Source organism: Homo sapiens, chromosome 19 (assembly GCF_000001405.40).
Source record: "Homo sapiens chromosome 19, GRCh38.p14 Primary Assembly".
Classification (NCBI taxonomy): domain Eukaryota; kingdom Metazoa; phylum Chordata; class Mammalia; order Primates; family Hominidae; genus Homo; species Homo sapiens.
In genome coordinates this window covers 53,881,094-53,908,276 of record NC_000019.10, presented here as the reverse complement: position 1 = coordinate 53,908,276, position 27,183 = coordinate 53,881,094, and the positions used below count along the sequence as shown (strand labels likewise).

At 53.1% G+C, this 27,183-nt stretch overlaps 1 protein-coding gene across 3 annotated transcripts, besides 6 other annotated features; it reads right to left on the bottom strand.

Annotated features, from left to right (window-relative positions):
• Window positions 373-914: an enhancer, noted in NCBI's record as "H3K4me1 hESC enhancer chr19:54410617-54411158 (GRCh37/hg19 assembly coordinates)". NCBI's record gives its function as "activates a minimal SCP1, AML or CMV promoter by ChIP-STARR-seq in primed H9 embryonic stem cells {active_cell/tissue: H9 hESC(primed)}" and the evidence as "EXISTENCE:reporter gene assay evidence [ECO:0000049][PMID:30033119]".
• On the bottom strand, window positions 625-27,183 carry PRKCG (protein kinase C gamma). 3 transcript variants are annotated; one of them, XM_047439092.1, is made up of 20 exons: window positions 26,437-27,183; window positions 25,613-25,720; window positions 25,083-25,114; window positions 24,034-24,116; window positions 18,528-18,639; window positions 18,260-18,391; window positions 16,447-16,603; window positions 15,634-15,768; window positions 15,202-15,289; window positions 14,886-14,915; window positions 10,166-10,318; window positions 9,649-9,837; window positions 7,953-8,044; window positions 7,796-7,858; window positions 7,528-7,666; window positions 5,124-5,204; window positions 3,535-3,642; window positions 1,820-1,960; window positions 1,386-1,570; window positions 625-1,283 (listed from the first exon to the last, which is right to left on the bottom strand). In XM_047439092.1, exons 5-20 carry the CDS (start codon window positions 18,538-18,540, stop codon window positions 1,241-1,243), a joined length of 1,749 nt encoding a protein of 582 aa, XP_047295048.1. In that variant the 5' UTR covers window positions 18,541-18,639; window positions 24,034-24,116; window positions 25,083-25,114; window positions 25,613-25,720; window positions 26,437-27,183; the 3' UTR covers window positions 625-1,240. The 3 variants fall into 3 exon arrangements, with proteins under 3 accessions (XP_047295048.1, NP_001303258.1, NP_002730.1); NM_001316329.2 differs by lacking the exon at window positions 26,437-27,183 and having other exon boundaries at window positions 25,613-26,080; NM_002739.5 differs by lacking the exon at window positions 26,437-27,183 and having other exon boundaries at window positions 625-1,570; window positions 25,613-26,080.
• Window positions 8,569-9,500: an enhancer, noted in NCBI's record as "H3K27ac-H3K4me1 hESC enhancer chr19:54402031-54402962 (GRCh37/hg19 assembly coordinates)". NCBI's record gives its function as "activates a minimal SCP1, AML or CMV promoter by ChIP-STARR-seq in naive H9 embryonic stem cells {active_cell/tissue: H9 hESC(naive)}" and the evidence as "EXISTENCE:reporter gene assay evidence [ECO:0000049][PMID:30033119]".
• Window positions 8,569-9,502: a biological region, named in NCBI's record as "Sharpr-MPRA regulatory region 4174".
• Window positions 9,208-9,502: an enhancer, noted in NCBI's record as "tiled region #4174; K562 Activating DNase matched - State 4:PromP". NCBI's record gives its function as "activates a minimal TATA promoter and a strong SV40 promoter by Sharpr-MPRA in K562 cells {active_cell/tissue: K562}" and the evidence as "EXISTENCE:reporter gene assay evidence [ECO:0000049][PMID:27701403]".
• Window positions 15,151-15,690: an enhancer, noted in NCBI's record as "H3K4me1 hESC enhancer chr19:54395841-54396380 (GRCh37/hg19 assembly coordinates)". NCBI's record gives its function as "activates a minimal SCP1, AML or CMV promoter by ChIP-STARR-seq in primed H9 embryonic stem cells {active_cell/tissue: H9 hESC(primed)}" and the evidence as "EXISTENCE:reporter gene assay evidence [ECO:0000049][PMID:30033119]".
• Window positions 25,077-25,628: an enhancer, noted in NCBI's record as "H3K4me1 hESC enhancer chr19:54385903-54386454 (GRCh37/hg19 assembly coordinates)". NCBI's record gives its function as "activates a minimal SCP1, AML or CMV promoter by ChIP-STARR-seq in primed H9 embryonic stem cells {active_cell/tissue: H9 hESC(primed)}" and the evidence as "EXISTENCE:reporter gene assay evidence [ECO:0000049][PMID:30033119]".

The window sequence follows — 27,183 nt, the reverse complement described above, 5'->3', positions numbered from 1 at the left end:
CTTGGGGGAAGGGTCTGCCGCGAGGCCTGCGGGGAAATGTAGTCCATCTGCACGGTCCCCGGCACTCCCCAGACTCTCAAGTGGGTCAAGGGAAAGAGGCCCAGAAGGCGCGTCTGCCTGCCGTGTGCCTCCGTCGCCGATTCCTAGGCTCTCGGGTTCTGGCTGTTTTTGGTTGCTCTGGCGTGGGGGTCTCTTCCTCTGATCAGGTCTCTAGGTCTCTCAAGAAGAGGCCAGACTGTGATCTCCCCGCTTGGGAAGGACTTCTCCCCGGTGTCTGAGCCTGGGGGTGCATGTGAGCTTGCGTGGCTGCTCTGGTGAACACGGACGCGCTGGGTCTCTGCGCGGGGGTCGCCACCTGGCACTCTCAGTGATCTCCGTGCCCCTCTCTCGCTGTGCACTGTCCACGTTGGTGCCCTCTGTGATATTTTCTCTCCCTGTCTCTGTCTGTCTGGGTCTCCTGCCTCTGTCTGCGCGCGCTTCTCTGCTTGCTCCCCTGCAGTGGGTGTCTCCCCTCTCACTTTGTGGGTCTCCGTGCTTTCCTTCTCTGTTTGTGTCTATGTACAGTCACTGTCCCGCCTCCACACCCCGTTCATTCTCCAAGCTTACAAGAAAATATCCAAACACTTCAGCATCAGCATCCCAAATTTATTCTCCAGCAGCTGTGGCCGGGTGGGAGAGGCTAAGGGAAGAGGAGGGGAGGAGGAGAGTCCCAGAGAGTGGCAGGCACTGGGGAGAGTTGGGGTGGGTCCGAGCCAGACAGGAGCCATGCACGGCAGGCGGGCTGCGGGGAGAAGTGATGGCTTCGGGATGGGGAAGTCTAGAACAAAAGCTGATTGGGAGCCTCTGGGGAAAGAATCCTCCATATATCCCAGAAATCCCCAGAGCACAGCAGCGGGACGTACTGGAGGAGGGGGGCACGCCTCCCACTCATCTAGAACTAGAGTGGAGGCGGGGAGCCTCGGAGGCCGAGGGCTGTTCTGGAACCTGAGTCTGGAACAGCCAACCCCGTGAGGCTATTTCCCCAGGGGCGGGGTCTGGGGGGAGGCACAGAACTACCAAGATGGAGTCTCGAACCCCATGGAGTTGGGGATGGTTAGTGGTGTGGTCTCTGGACCCGATTGGGGCAGAGTCCAGAACGCTAAGGTCAGGGAGAATATCGGGCTCCGCTCAAGTCTTGAACGCGGGACGGCTGTAGAGGCTGTATGGAGTTCAGAAGGCCAGGAACGCTTGGGAGGGGCGTCTAGAACCCGCGGGGGCAGAGCTGGAATGCTGGGGTGCAGGATCTAGAATGGGACAGGGGGTGGTGAAGTTGGGGGTGAAGTGGGGCTGCCGCCGGCACGGCGGAGGGGACGTTGGGGACACCTAGTGGCGGCGGGTGAGATTACATGACGGGCACAGGCACTGGGCTGGTGGGGCTGCGGGCATCCGGGTGCACGAAGTCGGGGTTCACGTAGGTGAAGCCCTGGAAATCGGCCTGGTCGATGCTGGCCAGGACTAGGCGGTCTGGAGGGGTCAGCGCTGGCGCCGCCCGCGTGAAGAACTTGTCAAAGTTCTCGCCGCTGCGGCCACACTGTGGGAGACGTGGGGGAGGGAAAGTTAAGCAGCTCCGAGGGCTCCTCGGGTGTCCCTCTGTGTACCCCAGTCTCATCTCCTGTCTCCTGCAGAATCTCTATTCATGCTTCATGGTGTCTGCACCTCCTTTTGTTGGGGGCGGGGGGCTCTGCAGAGGGAACCCCACCCCCACATACAGGTATATTGAGGCCCAGGGGAACCCCACCCCTTCAGGGACCAGGTTTTTGTTGCCTGGAGGGTGACTGACCGGGCGGGGTCTGAAAGGAGGCGGGATCTCCAATCGTTCCAGCCGCTCCCAGTCAATCCAGCGGAAAAAGCCATGTGCACGGATGGTAGGTTCCCCATCAGGCCCTGAGCCCAGGCGCTTCCCTGGGTGCTTGGTCAGGAACTGTGGGAAACACAGAGAGAGACAGACAGACAAACAGACAGAGTGCCGGACAGGTAGACCCAGAGAAAGAGGGACAGAGACAGGCAGATGGAGGAACCAAGAGACACAGGCATGAGATCCGGAGAGATAAGAACAGCCAGGGGAAACAGGCAAATGGAGGGAGGAAGGGAAAAGAAAGGAGAGAGAGAGAGAAGAAAAGAAGAAGAAGAAGAAGAAGAAGAAGAAGAAGAAGGAGGAGGAGGAGGAGGAGGAGGAGGAGGAGGAGGAGGAGGAGGGAGGAGGAGGAGGAGGGAGACAGACAGAGAGCGAGACAGAGAGAGACAGAGAGGAGAGAGAGAGGAAGAGGGACAGAGAGAGAGAGAGACAGAGGGTGAGAGTGAGTGAGAGAGAGAGAGAGAGAGACAGGAAGAAGGAGAGGATACATGAAAATGATAGCAGATGAAATTCATACCCAGAGACCCAGGGACACACAGAGAAACAGAACAAATCATGAGGGAGATGGAGAAGAGGAGAGGGAAAAGGGGTAGGGGGAGAGAGGGAAGGGGAGAGAGGGACGGGGAGAGGGAAGGGTAGGGGGAGGGAGGGAAGGGGAGAGTGAAGGACAGAGGGAGGTCGGTAGGGGGAGGGAGGGAAGGGTAGAGGAGATGAAGGGGAAGAGGGAGGGAATGGGGGAAGAGAGGTTGCAGACCCAGAGAAAAGGGGAAATAGAAATTCAGAGGGTGGTACAGAGACCCCAGGTAAGAAGGCAGAAACTCAGAGAAGGGAGGAGACAGAGGAGACCCAGGGGGACAGAGATTCAGAAAGAGAGAAGGATAGAGACCCAGGAAACACACACCCAGAGGGAGGAATAAAGACCAAATATGGGGACAGAGACCCAGAGAAAAGGGAGGACAGAAAGCCAGCAGGAGAGGAGGGTGAGATGTAGCGTGTGTGTATGAGAGTGGACACAGGAGGGGACAGAGATGGGGGGTAGGGGGGTTGGACAAAGGCCCAAAAGTGTAGACAGAGATGCAGAAGGAGACACAGAGAAAAGGAAGAAACACAGAGAGCCCCATCGTATGCAGATGGAGGGGAGGCATGAGACAGAAACCAGAGAGACTGTCAGGGAGATGCAGAGAGAGCAGCTAGACGCAGAAGGTGCTGACATGGGCTGAAAATCTGCTATGGGCCAGGTGCTTTCTTCTGTGTCAACTCCATAACCCCTGAAGAGAGTTAAGCTCACAAAGTTTTGGTGACTCACCCAAGTTCACACAGGAAGAAAAGCTGCAGAAGTTGGGTTTACCTGACCCACCCAGTTCTAGACAGACAGACACCCTGGACTTTCAGCACTTCCTGCAAGCAGGGAGCTGGGGAGTGGGAGTCACAGAGAAGGATGAGACAGAGGCCATCTCCAGGCCTCGTGGCAACAGGGCTGGAAATCATTGTTCTAACAAAACCTATGCATCATATCAACTTTTCCAACAGATGGAAGTAAAGTGACTTCAGGAATGGGAGCATTTTTCTAATAGGCACAGAGACAGCAATGGGGTGTGTGGTTGTGAGCCTGGAGAAGCTGGGAGTCAGGGGGCTCTCACCCCCTTGCAGATGGCCACGGCTTCCCGGGAAAGCGACTTGGGGTAGGTGACAGTTTGTTCCATGATGGCCTGAAACAGCTCCTCCTCGTCCTCCCCATCGAAGGGAGGCTATCAAAGTGGAGGGGATAGAGAGTCAGGGACATGCCCAACTGCCTTTCCCCAAACCTTCCACACCCTCCTCACCCCACCGGGAACATGCCTGACCCATCACACGCCCCACATGCACACCTGACCACACCCTCAGGAGAGATCAGACCAAACCACCAAAGCTTGATCTCTCTCCTTCTCAGGTTCTCTCATTTCCTATCTCGGATGCCTCAGATCTGTGCATCTCTGTACTATTCTGCCTCTCTTTATCTGCTATGTAAATCAGCAGGCTGTTAATTATGCAACATGTCAGTTAAATAGAAGAGAGGAAAAACTGCAGGAAACACCCTAAAAGCATTCTCCTGGTTGGATGAGTAGTTCACAGTCTTCTGAGGTTACAAAAAATGATACCAAGGCAAAGATTTAGAGATGGGGTTTCATCATATTGGCCAGGCTGGTCTCAAACTCCTGACCTCAAGTGATCTGCCCACTTCGGCCTCCCAAAGTGCTTGGATTACAGGCGTGAGCCACCATGTCCGGCCAAATTTTTTTTTAACTTCTAACTAAAATTTAGCATTCCCTTCAGTTATGAATGCAGGCAGCAGCAGTGCTTGTGGCTTCATTATCAATAGTAATCACAGGTATTTTCTCATCACATGAGAGTTGCAGATATTCCAAATTATTAGTCATTGCTACATCAAAATTACTGTTAGAGCTCCTTTTTACTTTACTACCATTAGAACTTACTACTTAATGAATTAATAAGAAATTGCACATATGTCCATTTTCCAATTTTAAATATTTAGACAACTGTATACATTGAATTTAGTTGGTTGTTAGATTCAATTAAATTTTAAAAGTTTTGGTGACTATCTTTCAAAATGATTGATTTCTTTTGTTTGTTTGTTCTTTTGAGATGGGGTCTTGCTCTGTCGCCTGTGCTGGAACACAGTGGCATACTCATAGTTCAGTGTAACCTTGAGTTCTTGGGCTCATGTGACCCTCCTGCCTCAGCCTCCCCAGTAGCTGGGACTATAGGTGCCCACTACCATAGCCAGCTAAGAAGATGATCAAGAGTGTGGTAACCAATTTTTTTAGTTGTAGTACACTCAGCAGTCCAGGAATCCAATCAAGCTGATTTAGAATGTATGTAATTGTCTAAGCTGACACAGCCAGTAAGTGGCAAAGTGAGGATTTGAACCTTGGTTTTCTGCGTATGTATTATTCTATTTTGTGCATTGAAAAACATTCTTCTGAGAAGGGATCCATAGGCTTAACCAGACTGCTACTTTACCATCTAGGGAGAAAGAATCCATGGTAACAGAACAAACAAAACAAAACAAAACAAAACACCTGGTCTACATTAAGACAACACTTCAGAACCATGGACAGCGCTATTCGAGCACAACCTTCTGGGCTCCTTTCTAACTGGCTCCTCCTGAGATCCAGGTGCCCCTCTCTGTCTCTTTTAGCCAAGCCAGCTTCTCCCCACCTTCCCTTACCTGTCCTGCCAACATCTCATACAGCAGAACTCCAAAGGACCACCAATCGACAGACTTCCCATAGGGCTGGTAGGCAATGATCTAGGGGAGGTGGAAGGCAGGGAATCATGATGCGTTCTTTAGGAAGCCTAGGACCCCTCTGGCCTCACCCCCTGGGAGCGCTACCCACGTTAAGTGCTTTCAGCACAAGCTCTTCCCACTCTGAATATTTATTTCATCAGGTGATTTTTTGTTTCGTTTTTTTTTTTTTTTTTTTTTTTTTTGACAGGGTCTCACTCTGTTGCCCAGGCTGGAGCACAGTAGTGTGATCACGGCTCACTCAGCCTCAACTTCCCAGGCTCAGGTAATTCTTCTACCTCAGCCTCCCAAGTAGGTGGGCTACAGGTGTGCACCACCACACCTGGCTAATTTTTGCACTTTTAGTGAAGATAGGTCCTCACTATGTTGCCCAGGCTGGTCTCAAACTCCCGGACTCAAGCAATTGGCCTGCCTCCGCCTCCCAAAGTGCTGGGATTATAGGAGTGAGCCACCACGCCCAGCCTCCACTCTGAATATTTTGGCCAGCGATCTAACTTTTGGAATATTCTGGAAACAAAGCATACCTACTTCAAACATTCATTTGGCCTCAAATAGAAAGACTACCTAACGGCCAAGTCACTGGTTCCACCCACCTAGAATATTTGTGTCAGAGTCAGGAATATGTGTGTAGTTTTCAAATTTTCTTATCTTTTTTCTTTTTTGAGATGGAGTCTCACTCTGTAGCCCAGGATGCAGTGCAGTGGTGCAATCTTGGCTCACTGCAACCTCCACCTCCTGGGTTCAAGTGATTCTCCTGCCTCAGCCTCCTGAGTAGCTGGGTTGACAGGCACACATCACCATGTCCAGCTAATTTTTGTATTTTTAGTAGAGACGGGGTTTCACCATGTTGGCTAGGCTGGTCTTGAATTCCTGACCTCAAGTGATCTGCCTGCCTCAGCTTCCCAAAGTGCTGGGATTACAGGCATGAGCCACCATGTCTGGCCTCAGTTTTCAAATTTTCTACAGATGATTCTGATTACCAGCCAGGTTTTGTGATCACTGACATTGATTATTTGGGCACGAGTCAGGCACATCCTCCCAAGTAGCTGGGACTACAGGCATGTGCTTTATCCATCTATACGTACATTCAGAACATCAGCCCCACCCCTTTAACAAAGTCGGGTAATACCCCACCCACTTAAAATACTCATAGGACAGCATCTGCTCTCCCAGAACCTTAGGGATCTCACCCTGCCCTTTTTCTTTTTCTTTTTTTTTTTTTTTTTGAGACAGGGTCTCACTCTGTTGCCCAGACTGGAGTGCAGTGGCGCGATCTCAGCTCACTGCAACCTCCACCTCCCGGGTTCAAGTAATTCTCCTGCCTCAGCCTCCCAAGTAGCTGGGACTACAGGCACCCGCCACCACGCCTGGCTAATTTTTGTATTTTTAGTAGAGATGGAGTTTCACCATGTTAGTCAGGCTGGTCTCAAACTCCTGACCTTGTGATCCGCCCGCCTCAGCCTCCCAAGTGCTGGAATTACAGGTGTGAGCCACTGCACCCGGCTTTTTTTTTTTTTTTTTTTTGAGATGAAGTTATGAAGTTATGCTCTGTCACCCAGGCTGGAGTGCAGTGGTGTGATCTCAGCTCACTGCAACCTCCGCCTCCCCGGTTCAAGCGATTCTCCTGCCTCAGCCTCCCGAATAGCTGGGATTACAGGCGCATGCCACCACGCCCGGCTAATTTGTGTAATTTTGTTAGAGATGAGGTTTCACCATGTTGGCCAGGCTGGTCTCAAACTCCTGACCTCAAGTGATCCACCTGCCTCAGCCTCCCAAAGTGCTGGGATTACAGGTGTGAGCCACCGCGCCCAGCTGATCCTGCCCTCTTGAAAAATGCAGCACAGAAGTCCAGTACACTTACATCAGAGAAACACGTACAACACAGGAAATAAGCTTCCATCCAACTGAATACTCCAGGGAGAGCCCTGCCCAGTTTAAAGTATTCAGAAGATAGTCCGGACATGTTCAGTGTTGGCAGGGGACAGGCCACACCCACTCAGAGTACACTAGAAATCGTCTGCCCCTTCTCAGAAGGATCCAGGGTCAGGTCCTACTTGGAATTCCTACGAGCTGGTCCCACTCTCCTGGAACATTCACCCACAGGTGCTGCCCACCTTACCTATTTAGAGACCCAGCTGGGCCCACCTGGCAGGCTCAGTGCCAAGCTCACCTGTGCTGGAGGCTGGAGGAACGACTGGCTGTGTAAGAAGGCCACAACTCATGACAAGGTCTGAGGGTCAGGCCTCACCCGTGGTGAATACTGGACCATCAGCTACACCCTCTAAGGGATCTCAAAGCGTGACCAGAGCAGCAGGGTTGGGGTTACCTCCGGGGCTATGTAGTCCGGGGTCCCGCAGAAGGTGCGGGTTGTCGTCCCGGGGAAGACGTTCTCCTTACACATGCCAAAGTCAGTGATCTTGATGTGTCCCTCAGCATCCAGCATCACATTGTCCAGCTTCAGGTCCCTGGACGATGCAGGGGTGTGGGGCAGGAATTGCAAGAAGTGTTGAGTTCAGCAGTCTAGAGCCACATATTCAAATCCCTTCCCTTCCAGGGGCGTGATTTCCTCCACGGAAATTCCTGGGGCTGCTCACCTGTAGATGATGCCCTGATTGTGAAGGAAGAAGAGGCCGATAGCGATTTCTGCCGCGTAGAACCTGGAGGACGGGGTGGGTGGGGACGTCAGAAGGTCAGTGGCTGGATCCTGCCCCCTTCCACCACCCCGACCATTCTCTGTTGGCCGAGACTCACGCTGCATGGGGCTCCTTAAACTTGCCCAGCTGTTGAATGTGGTACATCAAGTCTCCCCCGGTGACGTACTCCATCACGAAATACAGGCGGTCCTGCGGAGAAGTGCATGGGCTTAGAGGCGGGATCCATCTACCCAGAGTAGGAGAATTTCTTTCCTGATCACTCAGGACAGACGTGGAAGGTTCCAGATGCACCCAACCAGAAATTCAGAGCACCTAGCCACATCCCTGGGAGGGCCCTAAGGTGCTAATCCTGCTACCTCAGAATCTCCACCCGCCAGACCACCGCCAACTATCAGACCACGTGTTCTGGCCCCGCCTTCTCAGAATTGAAGACTGAAGCCCACCATTCGCTCGAAATCCGGGAACACCAAAATCTCTTTCCACAGCCACTCACACACAGATGCAATTCTGGCTTCCTACTAAGAATCAAAGTTGCAGCTGGGCGTGGTGGCTCACGCCTGTAATCCCAGCACTTTGGGAGGCCGAAGCGGGTGGATCACCTGAGGTCAGGAGTTCCAGACCAGCCTGGCCAACGTGGCGAAACCCGGTCTCTACTAAAAATACAAAAATCAGCTGAGTGTGGTGGCGGGAGCCTGTAATCCCAGCTACTCAGGAGGCTGAGACGGGAGAATTGCTTAAACCCGGGAGGCGGAGGTTGCAGTGAGCCGAGATCGCGCCATTGCACTCCAGCCTGGGGGACAAGAGCTAACTCCTTCTCAAAAAAAAAAAAAGGAATCAAAGTTGCTCATACATATATTTTAATCCAGGTGGCTGGCCACTCTCATTCGGAGCCCCTGGAAGTAAAGTCACGCCCTCTTAAAATCTTGCAGGTTCTGACTCTCTGCCCCTAAGTCGCAATCCTAAGGAAATAATGTCCTGTTTCTGATGTGTCCTTCAGTCAGAATCCAAAAGTGATGACCCCGTCACTCGGAGCCCAATTCTGGGCAGGCCCACTAGGAAGGCACCCTCCTCCACTGTGCCCCTTTGCTGAAAATTCCAGAGCACTGGCTACAGCCACTCAAGACCAAGCTCCCCAGGGAAACAGGCATCTGGCCACTCCCCCCAAGAGCCCATCCACCTGGCCACGCCCCCAAGGAACTCAACCGCTTCACGACACCTCCGCAGGACCCATTCACCTGGCCAGGCCATGCCACCGAGGAACTCACCGCCTGGCCACGCCCCCGAGGAGCTCATCCGCCCGACCACGCCCTCCGAAGAATCTACCTGCCTGGATACGCTCATTCATAATCTCGTCTGCCTGGCCTCGCCCCCAAGGAGCCAATCTGCCTGGCCACGCCTATTAATGATCCCATCGCCTGACAAAGCCCGCCCCTCTAAACCACCCCCCCAAAGATTTCATCCGCCTGACCACGCCCCGCGAAGAGCCCCTCTGCCTGGCCACGCCCCCGATGAGTCCCTCCACCTGGCCACGCCCCCGAGGAGCCCCTCCACCCGGCCTCGCCTCCGTTGAGCCCCTCCGCCTGGCCACGCCCCCCGATGAGTCCCTTCGCCTGGCCACGCCCCCCAAGGACCCCCCCCCGGCCACGCCCCCTGAGGAGACAATCCGCCTGGCCTCGCCCACTCAGAGAGCACAAAGTTCTCTTGCCTCGCCCTAAACTCAGAATCCCAACGCAGATGTCCAGAACTGGATAAGGCAGGGCCCGGAGGACAGCCTCCGCCCCCTCCATCCTTACCGGGGTCTGGAAGGTGGAGTGGAGCTGGGTGAGGAAGTGGGGCCGGCCGCCAGGACCCCGGCCCCCCAGCGCCAGCACACGTTTCTCCACCAGCGTGCAGTCCACATCGTCGTCCTGGACGATCACGTCCTTTTTCAAGATCTTGATGGCGTAGAGCTCATCAGAGCCCCTGCGCTCGGCCAGCATCACCTATGCGCACAGTTCCAAAAGGGCCAGTCCATGTTGGGAACCCAGTGGTACAGGACCTGCCCCCTCCCTAAGGGACGCAGGGAAACGGGATCCCAGGCCCTTCCTCCATCTCTTAAGGGACTGACAGCCCTGACTTGCCGCCCGTCCCCTCAAGGAGAGTGTCCACATCTGTAAACCTCTCCTCTCCAGGAACCTGAACGGCCCAACCTAACCATATTTGAAGATGCAGGAGCCCAGTCTCTTCCCACCCCCACTTCCTCCCTAAGAACCAGAAATCTGACCTTCCCACAGACATCCTCCCTTTCCCCCAGAACCCCAGGAATCCAACCTTCCCAAAACTGCCTTTTCCTAGAACCATGAGGAAGCTGAAGTCGGAGATGTGCAGGCGTCCTGGACTCGCCCCGAAGAAGCAGCGCTTGGGGTCGGTGGGACTAGGGGAAGGGGAGGGGATGGGAGAGGAAGAGGGGCCCATCCGCACCCGCTGTGGAAAGGAGAAAGAAAGAGCCAGAGGCAGTTAGACCTTACACAGCGATAAGGAAATGCTCCCAAGAGACACAGCACCCAAGAAAGGAAAGGATGAGAATCGCTAGACAGAGGAAAATGGCCACCCTCCTACCCTGTCCTTGGCTTAATTTTCTCTGACTCCCCATAGCCTGGAGGGTTTATTTATTATTCAACAAACACTTAGCTCTTTTTTTCTTCTTTTTTTTTTTTAGATAGCTTATCATATGCTGTTTCCAGAAAACCCTGCTATCGTTTCCATTTTACAGAAGAGGAGACTAGCACAGAGACGTTAAGTAACTTGCCCCAAGTCACACAGCAGGTAAAGGACAGAGCCAGAAATGAAACCCAAGCAGTCCAGCTCTAGAATCTGGTTGCTCTTAGCCTCTAAGCCGGAATTCCCTAGAGGGTTTGGTAAAACAGATTGCTGGGTCCCACTGCCAGATTTTCTAACTCTATAAATCTGGGGTGGGACCTGAGAATCGTTATGTGTAAAAAGCTTCTGGGTGACATGGGTGCTGCCAGTCCAGGGAGCACACCTGGCTTTCAGCTAGGGTCCCTTCTCTACCTTTTCCTGCCTCGGCCCCCCAGGGAGGGGGCCCAAGACTAAGCTGCTGTCACAGCTTCCACACTTGTCCCTCTACATGGACGGCTGCCCTTTCTAATGCATTCTCTACTCAGCAGGCACAGGAGCCAATTTAAAAATAAATAAACCAGGTCATGTCTCCCCTATGCTTGTAAACCCTTTAACTGCTCCCTCTGTGTTAAGATTTTATTCCACATGACTTGCAGAGCCAGGCTGAGACTGACACTGCAGGTTGTTCTTCTCTCTCCCAGGCTCCATGGTCCAGCCACCCTGGCCTGACACTCATTGTCCTCCCTCCCACCTCAGGGCCTCTGGATGTGCCGTTAGGTCTTCCTGTAAAGCTCTCCCCTCCCCTTCCCTCCTAGTTGTCTCCCAAACACCCTTTAGACCTTGACTCAAGCATCACTTCATAGAGGCCTCGCCTGACTTTTTAAACTGGGTCAGATGCCTCTCTTACCACCCCTTGGTCACCATGGACAGCACCTTCCTGGCACTTTTATTCTTAGTAATTTACATCTATCTGTGTGACTATCTGCTTTCTGCCTGTGAGCTCCCTAAGGCAGGGGTCTGCTTTGTTCGCTAAGACACAGTAACACTGCCTACCTCATTGAGGCTACATAAATATTTGTTGAGGGCTGGGTGCGGTGGCTCATGCCTGTAATCCCAGCACTTTGGGAGGCCGAGGTGGGCAGATCACCTGAGGTCAGGAGTTCAAGACCAGCCTGGCCAACATGGCGAAGCCCCATCTCTACTAGCAATATAAAAATTAGTAGGACATGGTGGCACATGCCTGTAGTCCCAGCTACTTGGGAGGCCAAGGCAGGAGAATCGCTTGAACCCGGGAGGCAGAGGTTGCAGTGAGCTGAGATCGCTCCACTGCATTCCAGCCTGGGCGACAGAGCGAGACTGTGTCTCAAATAGATAAATACATAATAATAATAATAATAATAATAATAATAATAATAATAATAATAATCAGGGCTGTTTCTGTTTGCTGTGTTGTTAGCCCCGTACCTAGCTCAAGGCTTGGCACAGAGTTGGTGTTCATTGGTAATATTAAGTGGTGCCTGCTGAACTGTGGGAGAGTGCTGTGAGCCACAACAGGCACACACACCACCCTACACTCCCTGCCTCTAGGCCTTTGCCCACCATCTGCCCTGCTGGGTTTCTTGGGTTTGTACGGGAGGATCATCCCTGCTGATCTCAAAAGACTCTACCTCTTTGGCTCAGAATGTCCTCCCGCTGGTACCCTTGTCTCCTGCAGAGCCCATTCTCTCTTTTTTTTTTTTTTCTGAGATAGAGTCTCGCTCTGTCACCCAGGCTGTAGTGCAGTGGCACGATCTCGGCTCATTGCAAGCTCCACCTCCCAGGTTCATGCCATTCTCCTGCCTCAGCCTCCTGAGTACCTGGGACTACAGGCACCCACCACCACGCCCAGCTAATTTTTTTGTATTTTTAGTAGAGACGGGGATTCACCGTGTTAGCCAGGATGGTCTCGATCTCCTGACCTCGTGATCCACCCGCCTTGGCCTCCCAAAGTGCTGGGATGACAGGCGTGAGCCACTGCGCCCGGCCGCAGAGCCCATTCTCAAACTTAACTTTGCAAAAGGATCACCTGAGGAATTAATTTAGTAGGCAGACATTTGAGGCATCAGAGAGATCGTCACTGAGTAGGTCTGCAGAAAGGCTGGGGAATGTGCTTTTAAAAGCAAGCACTCTAGGAATTCTGATGCAGGTGAACCCCCACACACAACATTAAAAACTCTGGTGAAAGTTTCTGTAAGAGTCCAGTAAAGACTATAACATGTTGTTGCTGTTGTTGAATCTTGAAGATTCTTGTCTTCTTTTTTTTTTTTTTTTTTTTTGAGACAGAGTCTCCCTCTGTCATCCAGGCTGGAGTGCAGTGGAGCGATCTGGGCTCACTGCAGCCTCTACTTCCCGGAATCCAGCAATTCTCCTGCCTCAGCCTTCCGAGTAGCTGGGATTACAGGCGCCTCCACCATGCCCAGCTGATTTTTGTATTTTTTAGTAGAGATGGGGTTTTGCCACGCTGGCCAGGCTGGTCTCAAACTCCTGACCTCAGGTGATCCGCCCGCCTTACTAGGATCACAGACATGAGGCATCGTGCCCAGTCTATCATATGCTTATATATTTTGTTTAATGTCTTCCTCCCGGTGTAAATCCCATAAGGAAAGGAACTTTTTTGTTTGTTTGTTTGTTCTTTCCCTGCTTTCTCTATATCCCCAGTGAGTAGAGCCACGCCTGGCACACAAAGATGCTCTGTAAAGTATTTTTTGAAAGGGTAAATGAGGGAGAGAGCATTACTTCCTCCTGCCTGAAAATCTGGTCTCTCCTTTGGGAAATCCCGCCCTTCTACCAGGTCTCACCTCTCTAGGAAGCTTTCTCTGACTCAGGCTGTGCCAGGGACGCCCCAGTGCCTGAGGCTGTCTCCATTACAGCAGCATTGCTCCTCGTTGTGAATGTCTGGGTTTGTAACTTTGTCCTCCACTAGAAGAAGAGCTCCACCAGGGAATGGCCTGATTCTATTCCCAGAACAGGGCCTGGCTTATGACACCCTAGAAAATGGGTATTCGTCTGGGCGTGGTCGCTCACGCCTCTAATCTCAGCGCTTTGGGAGGCCAAGGCGGGTGGATCACTTGAGGTCAGGAGTTCGAGACCAGCCTGGCCAACATGTCGAAACCCCATCTCTACTAAAAATACAAAAATTAGCCAGGTGTGGTGGTGCGCTCCTGTAATCCCAACTACTCAGGAGGCTGAGGCAGGAGAATCACTTGAATCTGGGAGGCAGAGGTTGCAGTGAGCTGAGACTGCATCACTGCACTCCAACCTGGGTGACAAAAGGAGATTCTGTCTCAAAAAAAAAAAGAAAGAAAGAAAGAAAGAAAAAGAAGGATATTCAGTGAGTGAATGAATGAATGGAGAGATTAAGATGATCATGCTTGATAGATTTTTTAAAACTCAAGAATCGGCTGGGTGTGGTGGCTCACGCCTGTAATCCCAGCACTTTGGGAGGCTGAGGCGGGTGGATCACCAGGTCAGGAGATCGAGACCATCCTGGCTAACACGGTGAAACCCCATCTCTACTAAAAATACAAAAAATTAGCCGGGCATGGTGGTGGGCGCCTGTAGTCCCAGCTACTCAGGAGGCTGATGCAGGAGAATGGCGTGAACCCAGGAGGCGGAGCTTGCAGTGAGCCGAGATCGCACCACTGCACTCCAGCCTGGGCGTCACAGCGAGACTCCGTCTCAAAAAAAAAATAAAAAACTCAAGAATCGGTCGGGCGCAGTGGCTCATGCCTGTAATCCCAGCACTTTGGGAGGCCAAGGCAGGCGGATCACCTGAGTTTGGGAGTTTGAGATCAGCCTGGCCAACATGGCGAAATCCCATCTCTACTAAAAATAAAAAAAAAATTAGCTGGGTGTGGTGGCGGTCACCTGTAATCCCAGCTACTCAGGAGGCTGAGGCAAGAGAATTGCTTGAACCCGGGAGCTGGAGGTTGCAGTGAGGCGAGATTGTGCCATTGCACTCCAGCCTGGGCGACAGAAATAAAAATAAAAATAAAAATAAAAATAAATTAAAAAATTTTAAAAAACCTCAAGAATCAATTCAGGCGTCACCTCCTCAGGGAAGTCCTCCCTGACCACCCTCCCCCAGGCTGGATTAGTGCCTCCGTTAGGCCTCTTCAGTGCCCTGGGCTACCTCTAATTTAGCACATCTTCCTGTATTTTAAGTATCTGTGACTGTGTCCCTACCTTGGAGAGTTGCTTGAGGGTCAGATTCATCTCTGGATCCTGGATTATTCAGCAAGCACAAGACAGGCCTAGCACAAATGTGTGCTCAACTCATGTGTGGGGAATTGAAGACAGAAGTCAGAGGAGGAATAAGAAATCAGAGAAGTAGGCAAAAACTGCCTCCATTCAACGCCCTGGTTCTACTCACCTCATACAATTCCAGGGGGTAGTTACAAGCCTGGGAGAAAAGAAAGAGAGAGTCAGGGTCCCAAGAGATGCAGGGGATCGCCCTAGAACAGGGGCTGGTGGCCCCTAGTACCCTCAAGCCATGGCGATAGATAGGAACTATAATTCCCATCAGACCCTGGGGCTCGAGTCCCCTAGAAGAGCAGAGGAGGGAGTCCTAGGGTCTTCTGGGAACTGTAGTCCCAGGACCAGCGGGCACTCAGGGGTGGAAGGAAAGGCCAGCTCTGAACCGTGGGAGGCTGGGCTGGGCTCCCTTGAGGAAGCCAGGGTCTGGGTACCTCAAACTTCTGGAGGAGGCTGCAGTTGTCAGCATCGGCCACCGGCACATTGTAATACTCGCCCTCCTCCTGGTTCAGTAACTTGTACCTGACATACAGACGGAGACCAGAGGCGGGCAGCGGGGATGGGGCACCCATGGGAGAGGCAAAGACATTGGAAGGGAGGAAAGAGACACAGAGAGACGGACACAGAGATGGAAGAGAGAAAGAGTGAGATAAAAAGAGAGGGAGAGGGAGAAAGGGAGGGGAGAAGAAGAGAAGAATAGAGAGAGAGGGGTGTGTGCGTGTGTGTGCGTGTGTGTGTGTGTGTGTGTGTGTGTGTGCGCATGCTGGGAGGCAGAGGGAAGGACAGTGGCCTGGAGGAGAGAGACCACACACAGATGGAGATGGTAATATTGCGCTCCATCCCCAGGCCCCAGCCCTGCTCCTCACCAGCCATCCACGGGCGCCTTGAGCAGCTCCGAGACGCCAAAGGACATGGCCCCCATGAAGTCGTTGCGGGAGGTCCGGTCCCAGTCCCACACCTCCACGCTGAGCCGGCGCTCCACATCCCCTGGCTTCAGGTTGCTGCAGGAAGGTGGGGTGGATGGGGTGCAGAGCCGAGCTCATGGCTCCCCTCGGTTCCCCATCCTTGGTGCTGGAGGTGGGGGCAAACCCAGCCAGCTGGGGCTCCTCTCCTGCTTTGTCGGTCTCCGACCTCTGACCTTCCCAGCCGGGCTCTCTCTCCAGCTAGGGCTTTGGGGCCTGAAGTAAACCTAGAGAGCTCTTCCTCTCCCTTCCTCCTGCATTCTCCGCCCCTTCCCATCTCTGTCTCTTGTCTCTCGAGATCTCTCTCTCTGAGTCTCTGTACCCTTCTCTCCTCTCTGGGTCTCTATCACTCTGTCTTCCTGTCAACTGATCTCTGTCTCCCTGCCATCCCCCATCTTCTCCCCTCCCTCTCCATCTGTGTCTCTCTTTGGGTTTCTGCCTCTTCTGAGACTCTCTCTTCTCTCTCTCATCTCTGTCTAACTCTAAAGTTGGGGGCTTCAATGGAGACTAATTATACAGTGGTCTGGCTGTCTCTCCGTTTCTGTATCTCCATCCCACTCCCTCAATCACTCTATTCCCTTTTCCCACCATCTTCTTCTGCCCTTTTCTGGGTTCCCTCTATCCTAACCCCTCCCATCAGCTGCTCTCTGGGGGCCACTAGGACCCTCAGATCATTCTCTGTCAGCTGTCATTGCCTTCCCTGCACCCCAGACTCACAACACAAAGGTCTCATTCCACACAGGGTTTAGCGTGGCTTTCACCGTTCGGGTCTTCTGTTTCGTCAGGTTCCGAGGGTCTGGGATGAGCTTCAGTTTCACATAGGGATCAGAGAGACCATTGGGGTCCATAGGAATTAGGTTACGGGCCTCGCCAACTAAACGGGGAGTGAGGAAGAGTGTGACGGGTTAGAGATCCAGGAAGGGGCTCCCAGCCCTCCTCCAGTCAGCAATCAAGAGTTCCAAGCTTGGCCAGGCACGGCGGCTCATGCCTGTAATCCCAGCACTTTGGGAGGCCAAGGCGGGCGGATCACAAGGTCAGGAGATCGAGACCATCCTGTGAATGGTGAAACCCCGTCTCCACTAAAAATACAAAAAAAAAAAAAAATTAGCTGGGCGTGGTGGCAGGTGTCTGTGGTCCCAGCTACTCAGGAGGCTGAGGCGGGAGAATGACGTGAACCCAGGAGTCGGAGCTTGCAGTGAGCCGAGATTACGCCACTGCACTCCAGCCTGGGCGTCACAGCGAGACTCCGTCTCAAAAAAAAAAAAAAAAGAATTCCAAGCTCTCAGTCTCGTTTCTCATGACTTCTTACCTCTCCAGAACCCAGAAGACAGGGCATAGAGCCCTTTCCGCAACCAGTGACCCTGAAATCAGATCCAGAGCCCTTCTCTCCATTAGGAACCAGAGTTTGGACCCTGGCCATGTCACCAGTACTGAACCACAGCCTCCCTCAGAACCAGGTACTCTCCCTTCTCAAGATCCTTATACCCAGAAAGCCATTGCCGGGCACGGTCCTCACCCCTGTAATCCCAGCACTTTGGGAGGCGGAGGCGGGCGGATCACCTGAGGTCAGGAGTTCCAGACCAGCCTGGCTAGCATGGTGAAACCCTGTCTCTACTAAAAATACAAAAATGAGCTGGGTGCAGTGTCATGCACCTGTAGTCCCAGCTACTCAGGAGGCTGAAGCAGGAGAATCGCTTGAACCTGAGAGGCGGAGGTTGCAGTGAGCTGAGATCATGCTACTGCACTCCAGCCTGGGCAACAGAGCGAGATCTTGTCTCAAAAAAAAAAAAAAAAAAAAATTAGCCGGATGTGGTGGCAGGCGCCTGTAATTCCAGCTACTCGGGAGGCTGAGGCAGGAGAATCCCTTGAACCCCGGAGGCAGAGATTGCAGTGAGCCAAGATTGCACCACTGCACTCCAGCCTGGGTGACAGAGCAAGACTCCATCTCAAAAAAATAAACATAAAATAAAAACAAAAAAGAAAGCCATTGGCCAGGCGCGGTGGCTCACGCCTGTTAATCCCAGCACTTTGGGAGGCCGAGTCGAGGGGATCACCTGGGGTCAGGAGTTCGAGACCAGCCTGGCTAACATGGTGAAACCCCGTTTGTACTAAAAATACAAAAAATTAGCCGGGCTTGGTGACACGCGCCTGTAATCCCAGCTACTCGGGAGGCTGAGGCAGGAGAATCACTTGAACCCGGGAGGCGGAAGTTGCAGTGAGCCGAGATCGCGCCATTGCACTCCAGCTTGAGCAACAAGAGCGAAACTCCGTCCCAAAAAAAAAAAGAAAGTCAAAGTCATTAACAGGTGCAGAAAGTTGCAAGAAGCCAGGTTGGAGGCGGGGCTTCGAGCCAAAAGGGGTATGGCTGGGTGTGCTCGGCCTTTGGGGTGGGGTCAGGAGTGTGGGCGTGACCATAGAAAGAGGCGTGGCCCCATCTTTGGGGTAGGGCTGGGCCAGCACAAGTGCCTTGGGTCAGCCCCGCCTCACACTTGGGGAGGGGGCGGGGCCAGGCGAGGGGGCGGGGCCTCACCAGTTACGTGGATCTCATCTGCTGTGGGAGCCCGGATCTCCAGCTGCAGGCGCCCGCGGCGCTCGGTGTGGTCCACACCGCACAGGGAGGGCACGCTACGCACACAGCGCCGGTGCACGTTCATCTCGCAGCCTGGAGGGGAAAGCTGCGGGTAGCACCTCAGGCCCCGCCCCCAAGCCAAGACTCCACCCCCCACCCCATCCCGGGCATTTCCCGGAACCCAGACCGGGCGCTTTGGAAGGGCCCTGGCAAGGCCCAGGTCACTCACAGGAGCATTTCATGCCCTGGTGCACAAGCCCGTAGAGGAGGGAGCCACAGTGGTCGCAGAAGGTGGGGCTGCTGTAGCTATGCAGGCGGAACTTGTGTTTGTTCCGGGGGTCCTGGGGGCAGAGAAGACTGGCTTAGGGGGCGTTGGGAGGGTCCTAAAACCCCAGGGGAGGGGCCCTTTTATCTTTTCCTCCTGCCTTGCTCTCTAGGTCAGCCTGAGGCTCCATCTCTTTCACTCTATGTACCAATAATCATTGAGCACCTGCTGTGTGCCAGGGACTGTTCTTGGTGTGGGGACCCAGCATTAAACAAATGAAAAAAAAAAACCTCTTTGTCACATGGAGTTTACTTCCTAATGGAGGGATACAGAATGTAAACATGGTAAATAAATAAAACATATAGTTTGATGGTTGGTAATGGGTGCTCTGGAGAAAAAATGAGGCAGGGATGGGGACCACCAGAAGTTGGGGGATTGAAATTTTAAATACGGTGGTCCTGGCTGGGTGCGGTGGCTCATGCCTGTAATCCCAGCACTTTGGGAGGCCGAGGTGGGCGGATTGCCTTGAGCTCAGGAGTTCCGGACCAGGCTAGGCAACATGGCAAAACTCTGTCTCTACTAAAAATACAAAAATTAGCCGGACATGGTGGTGCATGCCTGTAATCCCAGCTACTCAGGAGGCTGAGGCATGAGAATTGCTTGAATCCAGGAGGCCGAGGTTGCAGTGAGCCAAGATTGTGCCACTGCACTCCAGCCTGGATGACAGAGCAAGATTCTGTCTCAAACAACAACAACAACAACAAAACTGTGTGCAGGGGGAGTGGCAGGGGGGCCTCGCTGACCAAATGATATCTGGGCAGAACATGAAGGAGGCAGGAGCTTCCAACCTCCCATAGTTCCCATCCCCCCAACTCCCACAAGTTATTATTTGAGGACTTGTGGGCCACCCTGAACCCCAGCTCCTTCACTGGCAGCTTCTGTCAGTGTCCATATGGTATGCCTTCTCTGAGCTCCAGGTGGAATGGAGAACATGACCTCTCAGTTATAATAGGAACCCAGGAGGCCTAAATAAAATAATTGGTGTACAAAACATAGCTGTGCCTACCACGTTAGATGCTCCCAATACTATTACTGTGGTTATTGTTAGGGATTTTATTGAAGTCCCTACATAGCCCTGAATGTAAGTAAGAGCTAGGCCGCTTCTCAGCTGTGTGATTTGGGGCAAGTTCATTCCCAGTTTTGAGCCTCAGCATCCTCCTCTGTCAAGTGGAAATAAATAATCTATATTTTGAAGCAATGCTAAATTTCCAGAGTCCATTAAGCAAGAATGCAGGTCATCAGTGAAGCTTCTCCTTCTCCCCTGCCACCCACTACCCCCGGGACAATATCTGCTTGTTAAATAACTTGATTCTAAGAATCCATTAAAAGGATTATCACAGGGTGAACATTTAGGCCATTCTTGGATTTTCATCTATGTTAGTGGGGTTTCTAGTTTGAATATATATTTGGGTAGAGGAGGGTGTTGGCAGTTTCCAGGATCCTTTTCAATGTGCTGGGCTTCTAAATATCTCCGCTGACCCTAACTCAAAGGGTTCCTGCCGCACTAAATAAGATGCTGTGTGTGAAGGTTCTCAGCAGGCTGCCTGACACACAAACCATCCACAGACAGAGGCTGCTGTTCTTATTCTCAAAAGTGAACGTCGCTGTTAAAAAGGAGACAGCACGGAGGCTGTGGTTACATACATCAGAGTTCAAATCTTGCCTCTATCCCCTACCCAGCTAGGTGGCCTCACCACGCCTGCCCCTTTTCAAAGCCTCAGATTTACCGCTTGAAAAGTGGGGGCATGTGCCCTCCCTGGGGACTAAATGAAATCATTCTTGCCAAATCTTGATCCATGTTACTTTTTTTTTTTTTTTTTTTTTGAGATGGAGTCTCACTCTGTCGCCCAGGCTAGAGTGCAGTGGTGTGATCTCGGCTCACTGCAACCTCTGCCTCCGGGGTTCAAGCGATACTCCTGCCTCAGCCTCCCGAGTAGCTGGGACTACAGGCGCGTGCCACCGTGCCTGGCTAATTTTTTGTATTTTTAGTAGAGACGGGGTTTCACCGCGTTAGCCAGGATGGTTTGGATCTCCTGACCTCGTGATCCGCTTGCCTCAGCCTCCCAAAGAGCTGGGATTACAGGCATGAGCCACCATGCCTGGTCAAGGCATGTTACCTTTTTTTTTTTTTTTTTTTTTTTTTTTTTTTTTTTTTTGAGACAGAGTTTTGTTCTTGCTGCCCAGGCTGGAGTGCAATGGCGCAATCTTGGCTCACTGCAACCTCCGCCTCCTGGGTTCAAGTGATTCTCCTGCCTCAGCCTCCTGAGTAGCTGGGATTACAGGCGTGTGCCACCACGCCCAGCTAATTTTGTATTCTTAGTAGACACGTGGCTTCTCCATGTTGGTCAGGCTGGTCTCGAACTCCCAACCTCAGGTGATCCACCCGCCTCGGTCTCCCAAAGTGTTGGGATTACAGGCGTGAGCCACTGTGCCTGGCCTGCATGTTACTTTTAAGAAGATCAACTGCCAGCAGTGAATCACTTGAGCCCCGGAGGTCAAGACTGCAGTGAGCAGTGATAGCACTATTGCACTCCAGCCTGGGCAACAGAGTGAGACCCTGTCTCAACAGCAAAAAAAAACAAAAACAAAAAAACCCCCGAGTGATGCAGAGGAAAGATCTCCTTCTCACTATTCACTCGTTTCCTCATTGGTCATAATAATAATTTTAACAAGAATAAAAAATAATATTTTGGCTCTTGCTATGTGTCAGAAACCATCCCAAATGTCTGACTCACTAAATCTTCAAAACAATCCATAGTGAGCATAATTATCATCTCCACTTTACAAACAAGGAATTCAACAAGTGCAGAGAGGTAAATTAACTCAGGAAATGTCACAGAACCAAAAAGTGGTGGAGCTGGGATTCAAACCAGATAGACAGGGAAAAATAACCAAATAAGCTGTTGTGTGGATCCAACCTATACTGTATACAAAATACTTGAGGCCAGGTGCAGTGGCTCACGCCTGTAATCCCATCATTTTGGGAGGCTGAGGCAGGAGAATCGAGTGAGACCAGGAGTTGAAGACCAGCCTGGGCAATATAGTGAGTGAGACTCCATCTCTACAAAAACATTTTTTTTTAATTAGCTAGGTGTTGTGGCTTGTGCCTATAGTCCCAGCTACTTGAGAAGCTGGGGCAGGAGGAGCACTTGAGCCTGGAGAATTCAAGGCTGCAGTGAGCTATGATCCCATCACTGTACTCCAGTCTAGGTGACAGAGTGGGACCCTGTCTCAAAAAACCCCAAAAATCGGCTGGGTGCGGTGGCTCACGCCTGTAATCCCAGCACTTTGGGAGGCCGAGGTGGGTGGATCACGTGAGGTCAGGAGCAAGACCAGCTTGGCCAGCATGATGAAACCCTGTCTACTAAAAATATAAAAATTAGCCGGCCATGGTGGCTCATGCCTGTTCTAGTCCCAGCTACTCGGGAGGCTGAGGCATGAGAATCGCTTGAACCTGGGAGGTAGAGGTTGCAGTGAACCAAGATTGCACCAGTGCACTCCAGCCTGGGTGACAGAGTGAAACTCCATCTAAAAAATACCCCAAAATCAAACAAAACAACAAAAACAAAAAAAAATCTTTTTTTTTTTTTCCAAGACAAAGTCTTGCTCTGTCACCCAGGCTGGAGTGCAGTGGCGTGATCTTGGCTCACTGCAACCTCTGCCGCTCAGGTTCAAGCAATTCTGCCTCAGCCTCCCGAGTAGCTGGGATTACAGGCAAAAAACAAAAAAAAAAATCTTGATGAGTGTACCCAATGAGCACTGGATGCATCAGACTTATCTGGTGTTGGTGGCGGAGGTGAGTGGACGAGGGGGGTCATCAATCACATACACGTGCTGGTAGACAGTGGTGCTCAATATATGTTCTATGAAGTCACATCTTCTATGTAGACTTCTGTTATTTTCAGCTGAGAGGGTGGTAAAACGCCTCATGGACTTCTGTGGATCTCTCTCTCTCTGCCTCTCTCTCCATCTGTACATCATAAAACTGTCTCCGATCTTGTGTCAAACCCTGGGCGAAACTCTGAACCCACCTGACTTCAAAACAAGCCTGGAAGTGTCCAGATGTGTGCTGTCCCATTTGGTGGCCACTAACTACATGTGGCTGTTTAAATTTAAGTCAGTTCTGCCGGGCGCGGTGGCTCACGCCTGTAATCCCAACACTTTGGGAGGCCGAGGCGGGTGGATCACAAGGTCAGGAGTTCGAGACCAGCCTGGCCAACATGGTGAAACCCCATCTCTACTAAAAATACAAAAAAAATTAGCGGGGTGTGGTGGCATGCGCCTGTAGTCCCAGCTACTCAGGAGGCTGAGGTAGAAGAATTGCTTGAACCTGGGAAACGGAAGTTGCATTGAGCTGAGACTGCGCCACTGCACTCCAGCTTGGGCAACAGAGCGCGACTCCGTCTCAAAAAATAAAAATAAAAAAAAAAAATTTAAGCCAATTCAAATGACACGAAATGGAATTTCTAATCCTCAGCCACAGTCGCCCTGTTTCAAGTGCTCACTGGCTACATGGAGCTGGTGGCTGCCTATTGGACAGTGCATGTACAGAATGCTTCCGTCACTGTAAACAGTTCTGTTGGTCAATGCTAGATCATCAGCCCCATTTTATAGAGGAGGAAACTGAGGCTCAGAGATAAAGCAGAAAAGGGAACGGGAATGGGCACTCAGGGTTGACTGGTCTTGTGAGCCTCTGATGGAGAGAGAGGGGGTGGGGAGAGGCTGTGTGTCTCTGCGTGCTGCACATCTGTGATGACAGGGGCATCTGTACATGCACGCACATGTGTGCAAGTGTACTGTGGGACTTCCCTGGGTCTCCTCTCAGCATCTCCTAAGCTGTTGTCTGTATCCACCATTTTCTATTTTAGTCTCTTTCTCCAGGTGTCTGTGTCTCCGTCTCTTGGAGTTTCTCTGTCCATCTTTTGGTGCCTCCAAATTCCTCTCTTTCTCCCTGGTTCTTTCTCTGCTCCATCTCTCTCTCTCTCTGCCTCAGCTTCAGTCTCTCCTAGGTCTCTGTCTTCTTCTGTCTCTGTTCCTCTCCCTGAGATTCCCTCTGTCTTATGTTGGCATCTCCGCACCTGCACTGATATTTTTCTCCGTGTGCCCCTCAGCTCTCAATTTTTAAATCCCTTCACCCCTGGATCACAGCCCACCCCCGGCAGCACCCATCTTCAGTCTCCTCACCCCGGCCTCCTCTCTGTGCCCCACCCGTGTCCCCAGCCTGTCAGTCCCCCTCGCATTCCCCCTTTCCAGGCCAAGGGCAAGGAATCTGGGCCAGATAGCTCCCCCTATCTCTCCAGCCCCCCTCCCCTCCCAGCCATAAAAATAGCAGGAGAAATTGGGACGGACGCCGAGGGGGTGAGGGCGGGGGCACGGCCCGAGGAGGAGAACCAGGTGTCCGAGCACTCACGTCCGTCTGGGGGCCCTTCCCAGCGCCTGGACACTCGAAGGTCACAAATTCGTGGCATCGTCGATGAACCACAAAGCTGCAGACTATAGATGAAAATCATAGAGACACAGACGGAGGCATGGATTAGTCCAGCGGGAGACCCCAGCAGACAGAAAATTGGAAAGAGAGAGCGGAACTCGGACACTGAGAAAACCAGAAAGAGAGGGATCTCAACACAGAGAGTCCAACAGAGAGAAAATCGGAGGCCAGAGAGAGAAGCAGGAGACAGAAACCCAAGAGATGGGCTCAGAGTCAGAAACAGAGACGCAGAGACTTACAGAGAGACACAGAGCACAGAGCTCAGGGAAGGGAGATGGAAAAAGAGAGAAAGAAAATAGGATCCCATTGACAAACAGACACAGGCCCACGGACGGAGATCAGAAAGCCAGGAGAGAGGCAGACAGATTCAAAGAGCGAAAACCGAAATATCTTCAGACGCAGCCCAGGAAGCAGCAACTTGGGCAGAAGTGAGTCTGGGGGCGCTGCTGCCGGCCCGCCCCCCACCCTGACTCACTCTGTTCTCAGCAGTAGCAGCTGGTGCTCAAGGACTCGCCCCCCTCTCCCGCCCCCCAGAACTGCCGGCCCCGCCCGGCCCCCACTCGCCCATTGGTGACCCCACCCGGCCTGCCCCTGCCTAGGACGGCTGGTGTTGTCATGGCGACGGCAGCCTGGGGTGGGGGGGGGCTCTGACTTTGCATCTCCAGCCCCCTCCCCCTTCCCCCCTTCAGCTCCCCTTTTCCAAATCTCCATGTTCCCATGGCAACAGATTCTCCAAATATCTGTCCCCACCTGGAGCCGGCCGAGGGAGGGGCCCCCAGCACCACCTCCGCGGTGGCCCCACCATCAAAGCTCCCTCCCCACCACAGGCTGTGTCTCTGCCACACCCCCCGCCCCGGGCTCCCCCGCGCCTCTCTGGGGACCAGAGAACACGTGTGTCAAGCAGCCTCAGCTGTGGGGCCCCAGCCTCCACCCTCCTGAGGGTCCCAGGAGCCCCGGTCCCCAGCTCTTACCTTGACATTGCAGGCCCTGCTTTCCGATACCCCTGGAAGAGTCAGGGATCCTAGGTCAGTGCAGAAAGGGGTACCTGGACCCCCAACCTCTGCGAGCCACAGGGGGCCTGCGCTCTCTGACCCTCCTCCCGCAGGGCCCAGGTGTCCAAGCCCCGGCCACCTCCTCTTTCTAGAACCCAGAAATTTTGGCCCCCAGCCCTTCTTCCCTTAGACTGGAGTTCAGCCCCCAGTTTCTTCCTCCTTCAGACCCAGGAATCCAGGCTCCCAGCCCCCCAGGCCCTTCCTCCCTCAGACCCAAGACTCCAGGACCTCTGTCCTCCAGCCTCCTCCTCCCTCGGACCCAGCACTCCAGGAACCAGCCTCCTCCTCACTGAAACCCAGGAGTCGAAGCTCCCAGCGTTCCCTGGCCATCCTAGAACCTGGGAGTCGGGACTACAGCCCCCTCCTTCTTCCTTCCACAGGGGTCGGCGTGATAGGAGTCTGCACCCCTAGTCCCCTCGTCCCCCAGTCCCCCAGCCCCCTTCCCTCACCAGATGAAGTCGGTGCAGTGGCTGCAGAAGGTGGGCTGCTTGAAGAAGCGAGCGGTGAACTTGTGGCTCTTGACTTCGTGGACCACCTTCTGCCTCAGGGCCCCCTTTCTGCAAAACAGGGGCCGGGGTCCCCCCTCTGAATCGCCTACGCCGGGGCCCAGACCAGCCATGGCCCCAGAAACGTAGCAGGGACCAGGATCCTGCCTTTCTTGGGGGAAACAGGTGGAAGGGAGAGGAGCTGGAGACTCGAAGGATCAAAGGAGCCACAGGGAAATTCCGAGGTGGGCAGGAGAGGGGCAAGGCACCTCCAGGTGCGGAGCGCGCCAGGCAGGGAGCGGCACCCCGGGCGCGCCGGCTCCGCCAGGGGGAGCGGGCGAGTGGGGAGGAAGAGCCAAAGGCAGGGGCGCCGGCAGCCGGAGGCACGGGCGGCGGCGGTGGGAGCTCCAGCTCCGGCACCTGCTGAAATGTGGGAGCCCCGGGTTGGGGGAGGCGTTGCCAGGACGACCGAGAGGGCGGGGTTTCGGCTTAAAGGCGCTCCCCTCCCGGAGACACGGGACAAATGTCCTCCCTCCCCGCCCCCCACACGTGCACACACCCACTCCGGGGGCTGGCTGGAGGGAGGGGCATCCTCTGAGCCTGGCTCCCCCCCACCACCCTGCAATCTGTCATCCTGCCCCGCGTTCCTCCCCCACTAGGGTGCCTCGTGTGTCCTGTGGGCGCCCTGGGGTCCCTGTGTCTGACCCTGCCCCTCTCCTTCCTTCAACAAACTTTATGCTCCACGCTAGGGGTCCAGCAGTGGACAGGCAGGGCGCTAAGGTTCTCACTTTCTCCGATGCCGGCTGAGTCTTTATTTCCTCCCCTGGCCTCTCCATTATTTGTGTAGCTCTCTGCCTGCGTGTGTCTTTCTTGTGACCTCTGTCCCTCTCCCTCTATTCCTGGAGCGAGCTTTCTCGATGTGTCTCTGTTTCTGCCTCTCAGTGGATCTGTTTTCTTTTCCCTGTCTCCGAGAAATGCTGTTTCTATTTCTTTCTATTTCTCTATTTCCTCTGCTGTGTGTCTCCATCTGTATCTGTCGCCATCTCTGGGTCTTGGTGTCGTGGTTCTTCTCGGGGTCTTGGTCTGCCTCACTGTGAATCAGTCTCCCTCTGTCTCTCCCTCTACGTCTGATAAATTCTTCCGCCTCTGTCTCCCTGAGTTTGTTTCTTTCCCTGTCTTTGTCTCTCTGGCTCTGTGAATCTCTATTCTCTCTCAGGCTGTGACTCTGTCTCCCCCTCCCTCTGCAACTTGATCTCTTTGGGAGTCCGTCTCTGTCTTCCTCTCTGGGAGTCACTCTCTAAATGCTTGCCCCTGTCTCTCCCTCTCTCTCCTCACCTCCACCCGTCTTTATAAATGCCTTTGTCTCTGTCTCTCTCCCTTCCTCCGGTTCTGCAACTCCGTCTCTGTTTTTGTTTGTCTCTTCCTATATCTCTCTGGTTCCATCTGTTTCTCTGTACTTGTCCCTCTCTGGCTCTGTTGATCTCTCTCTCTCTCTCTGATGCTAGGGGGGTCTCTCTCCTGTCTATGACTCAGTC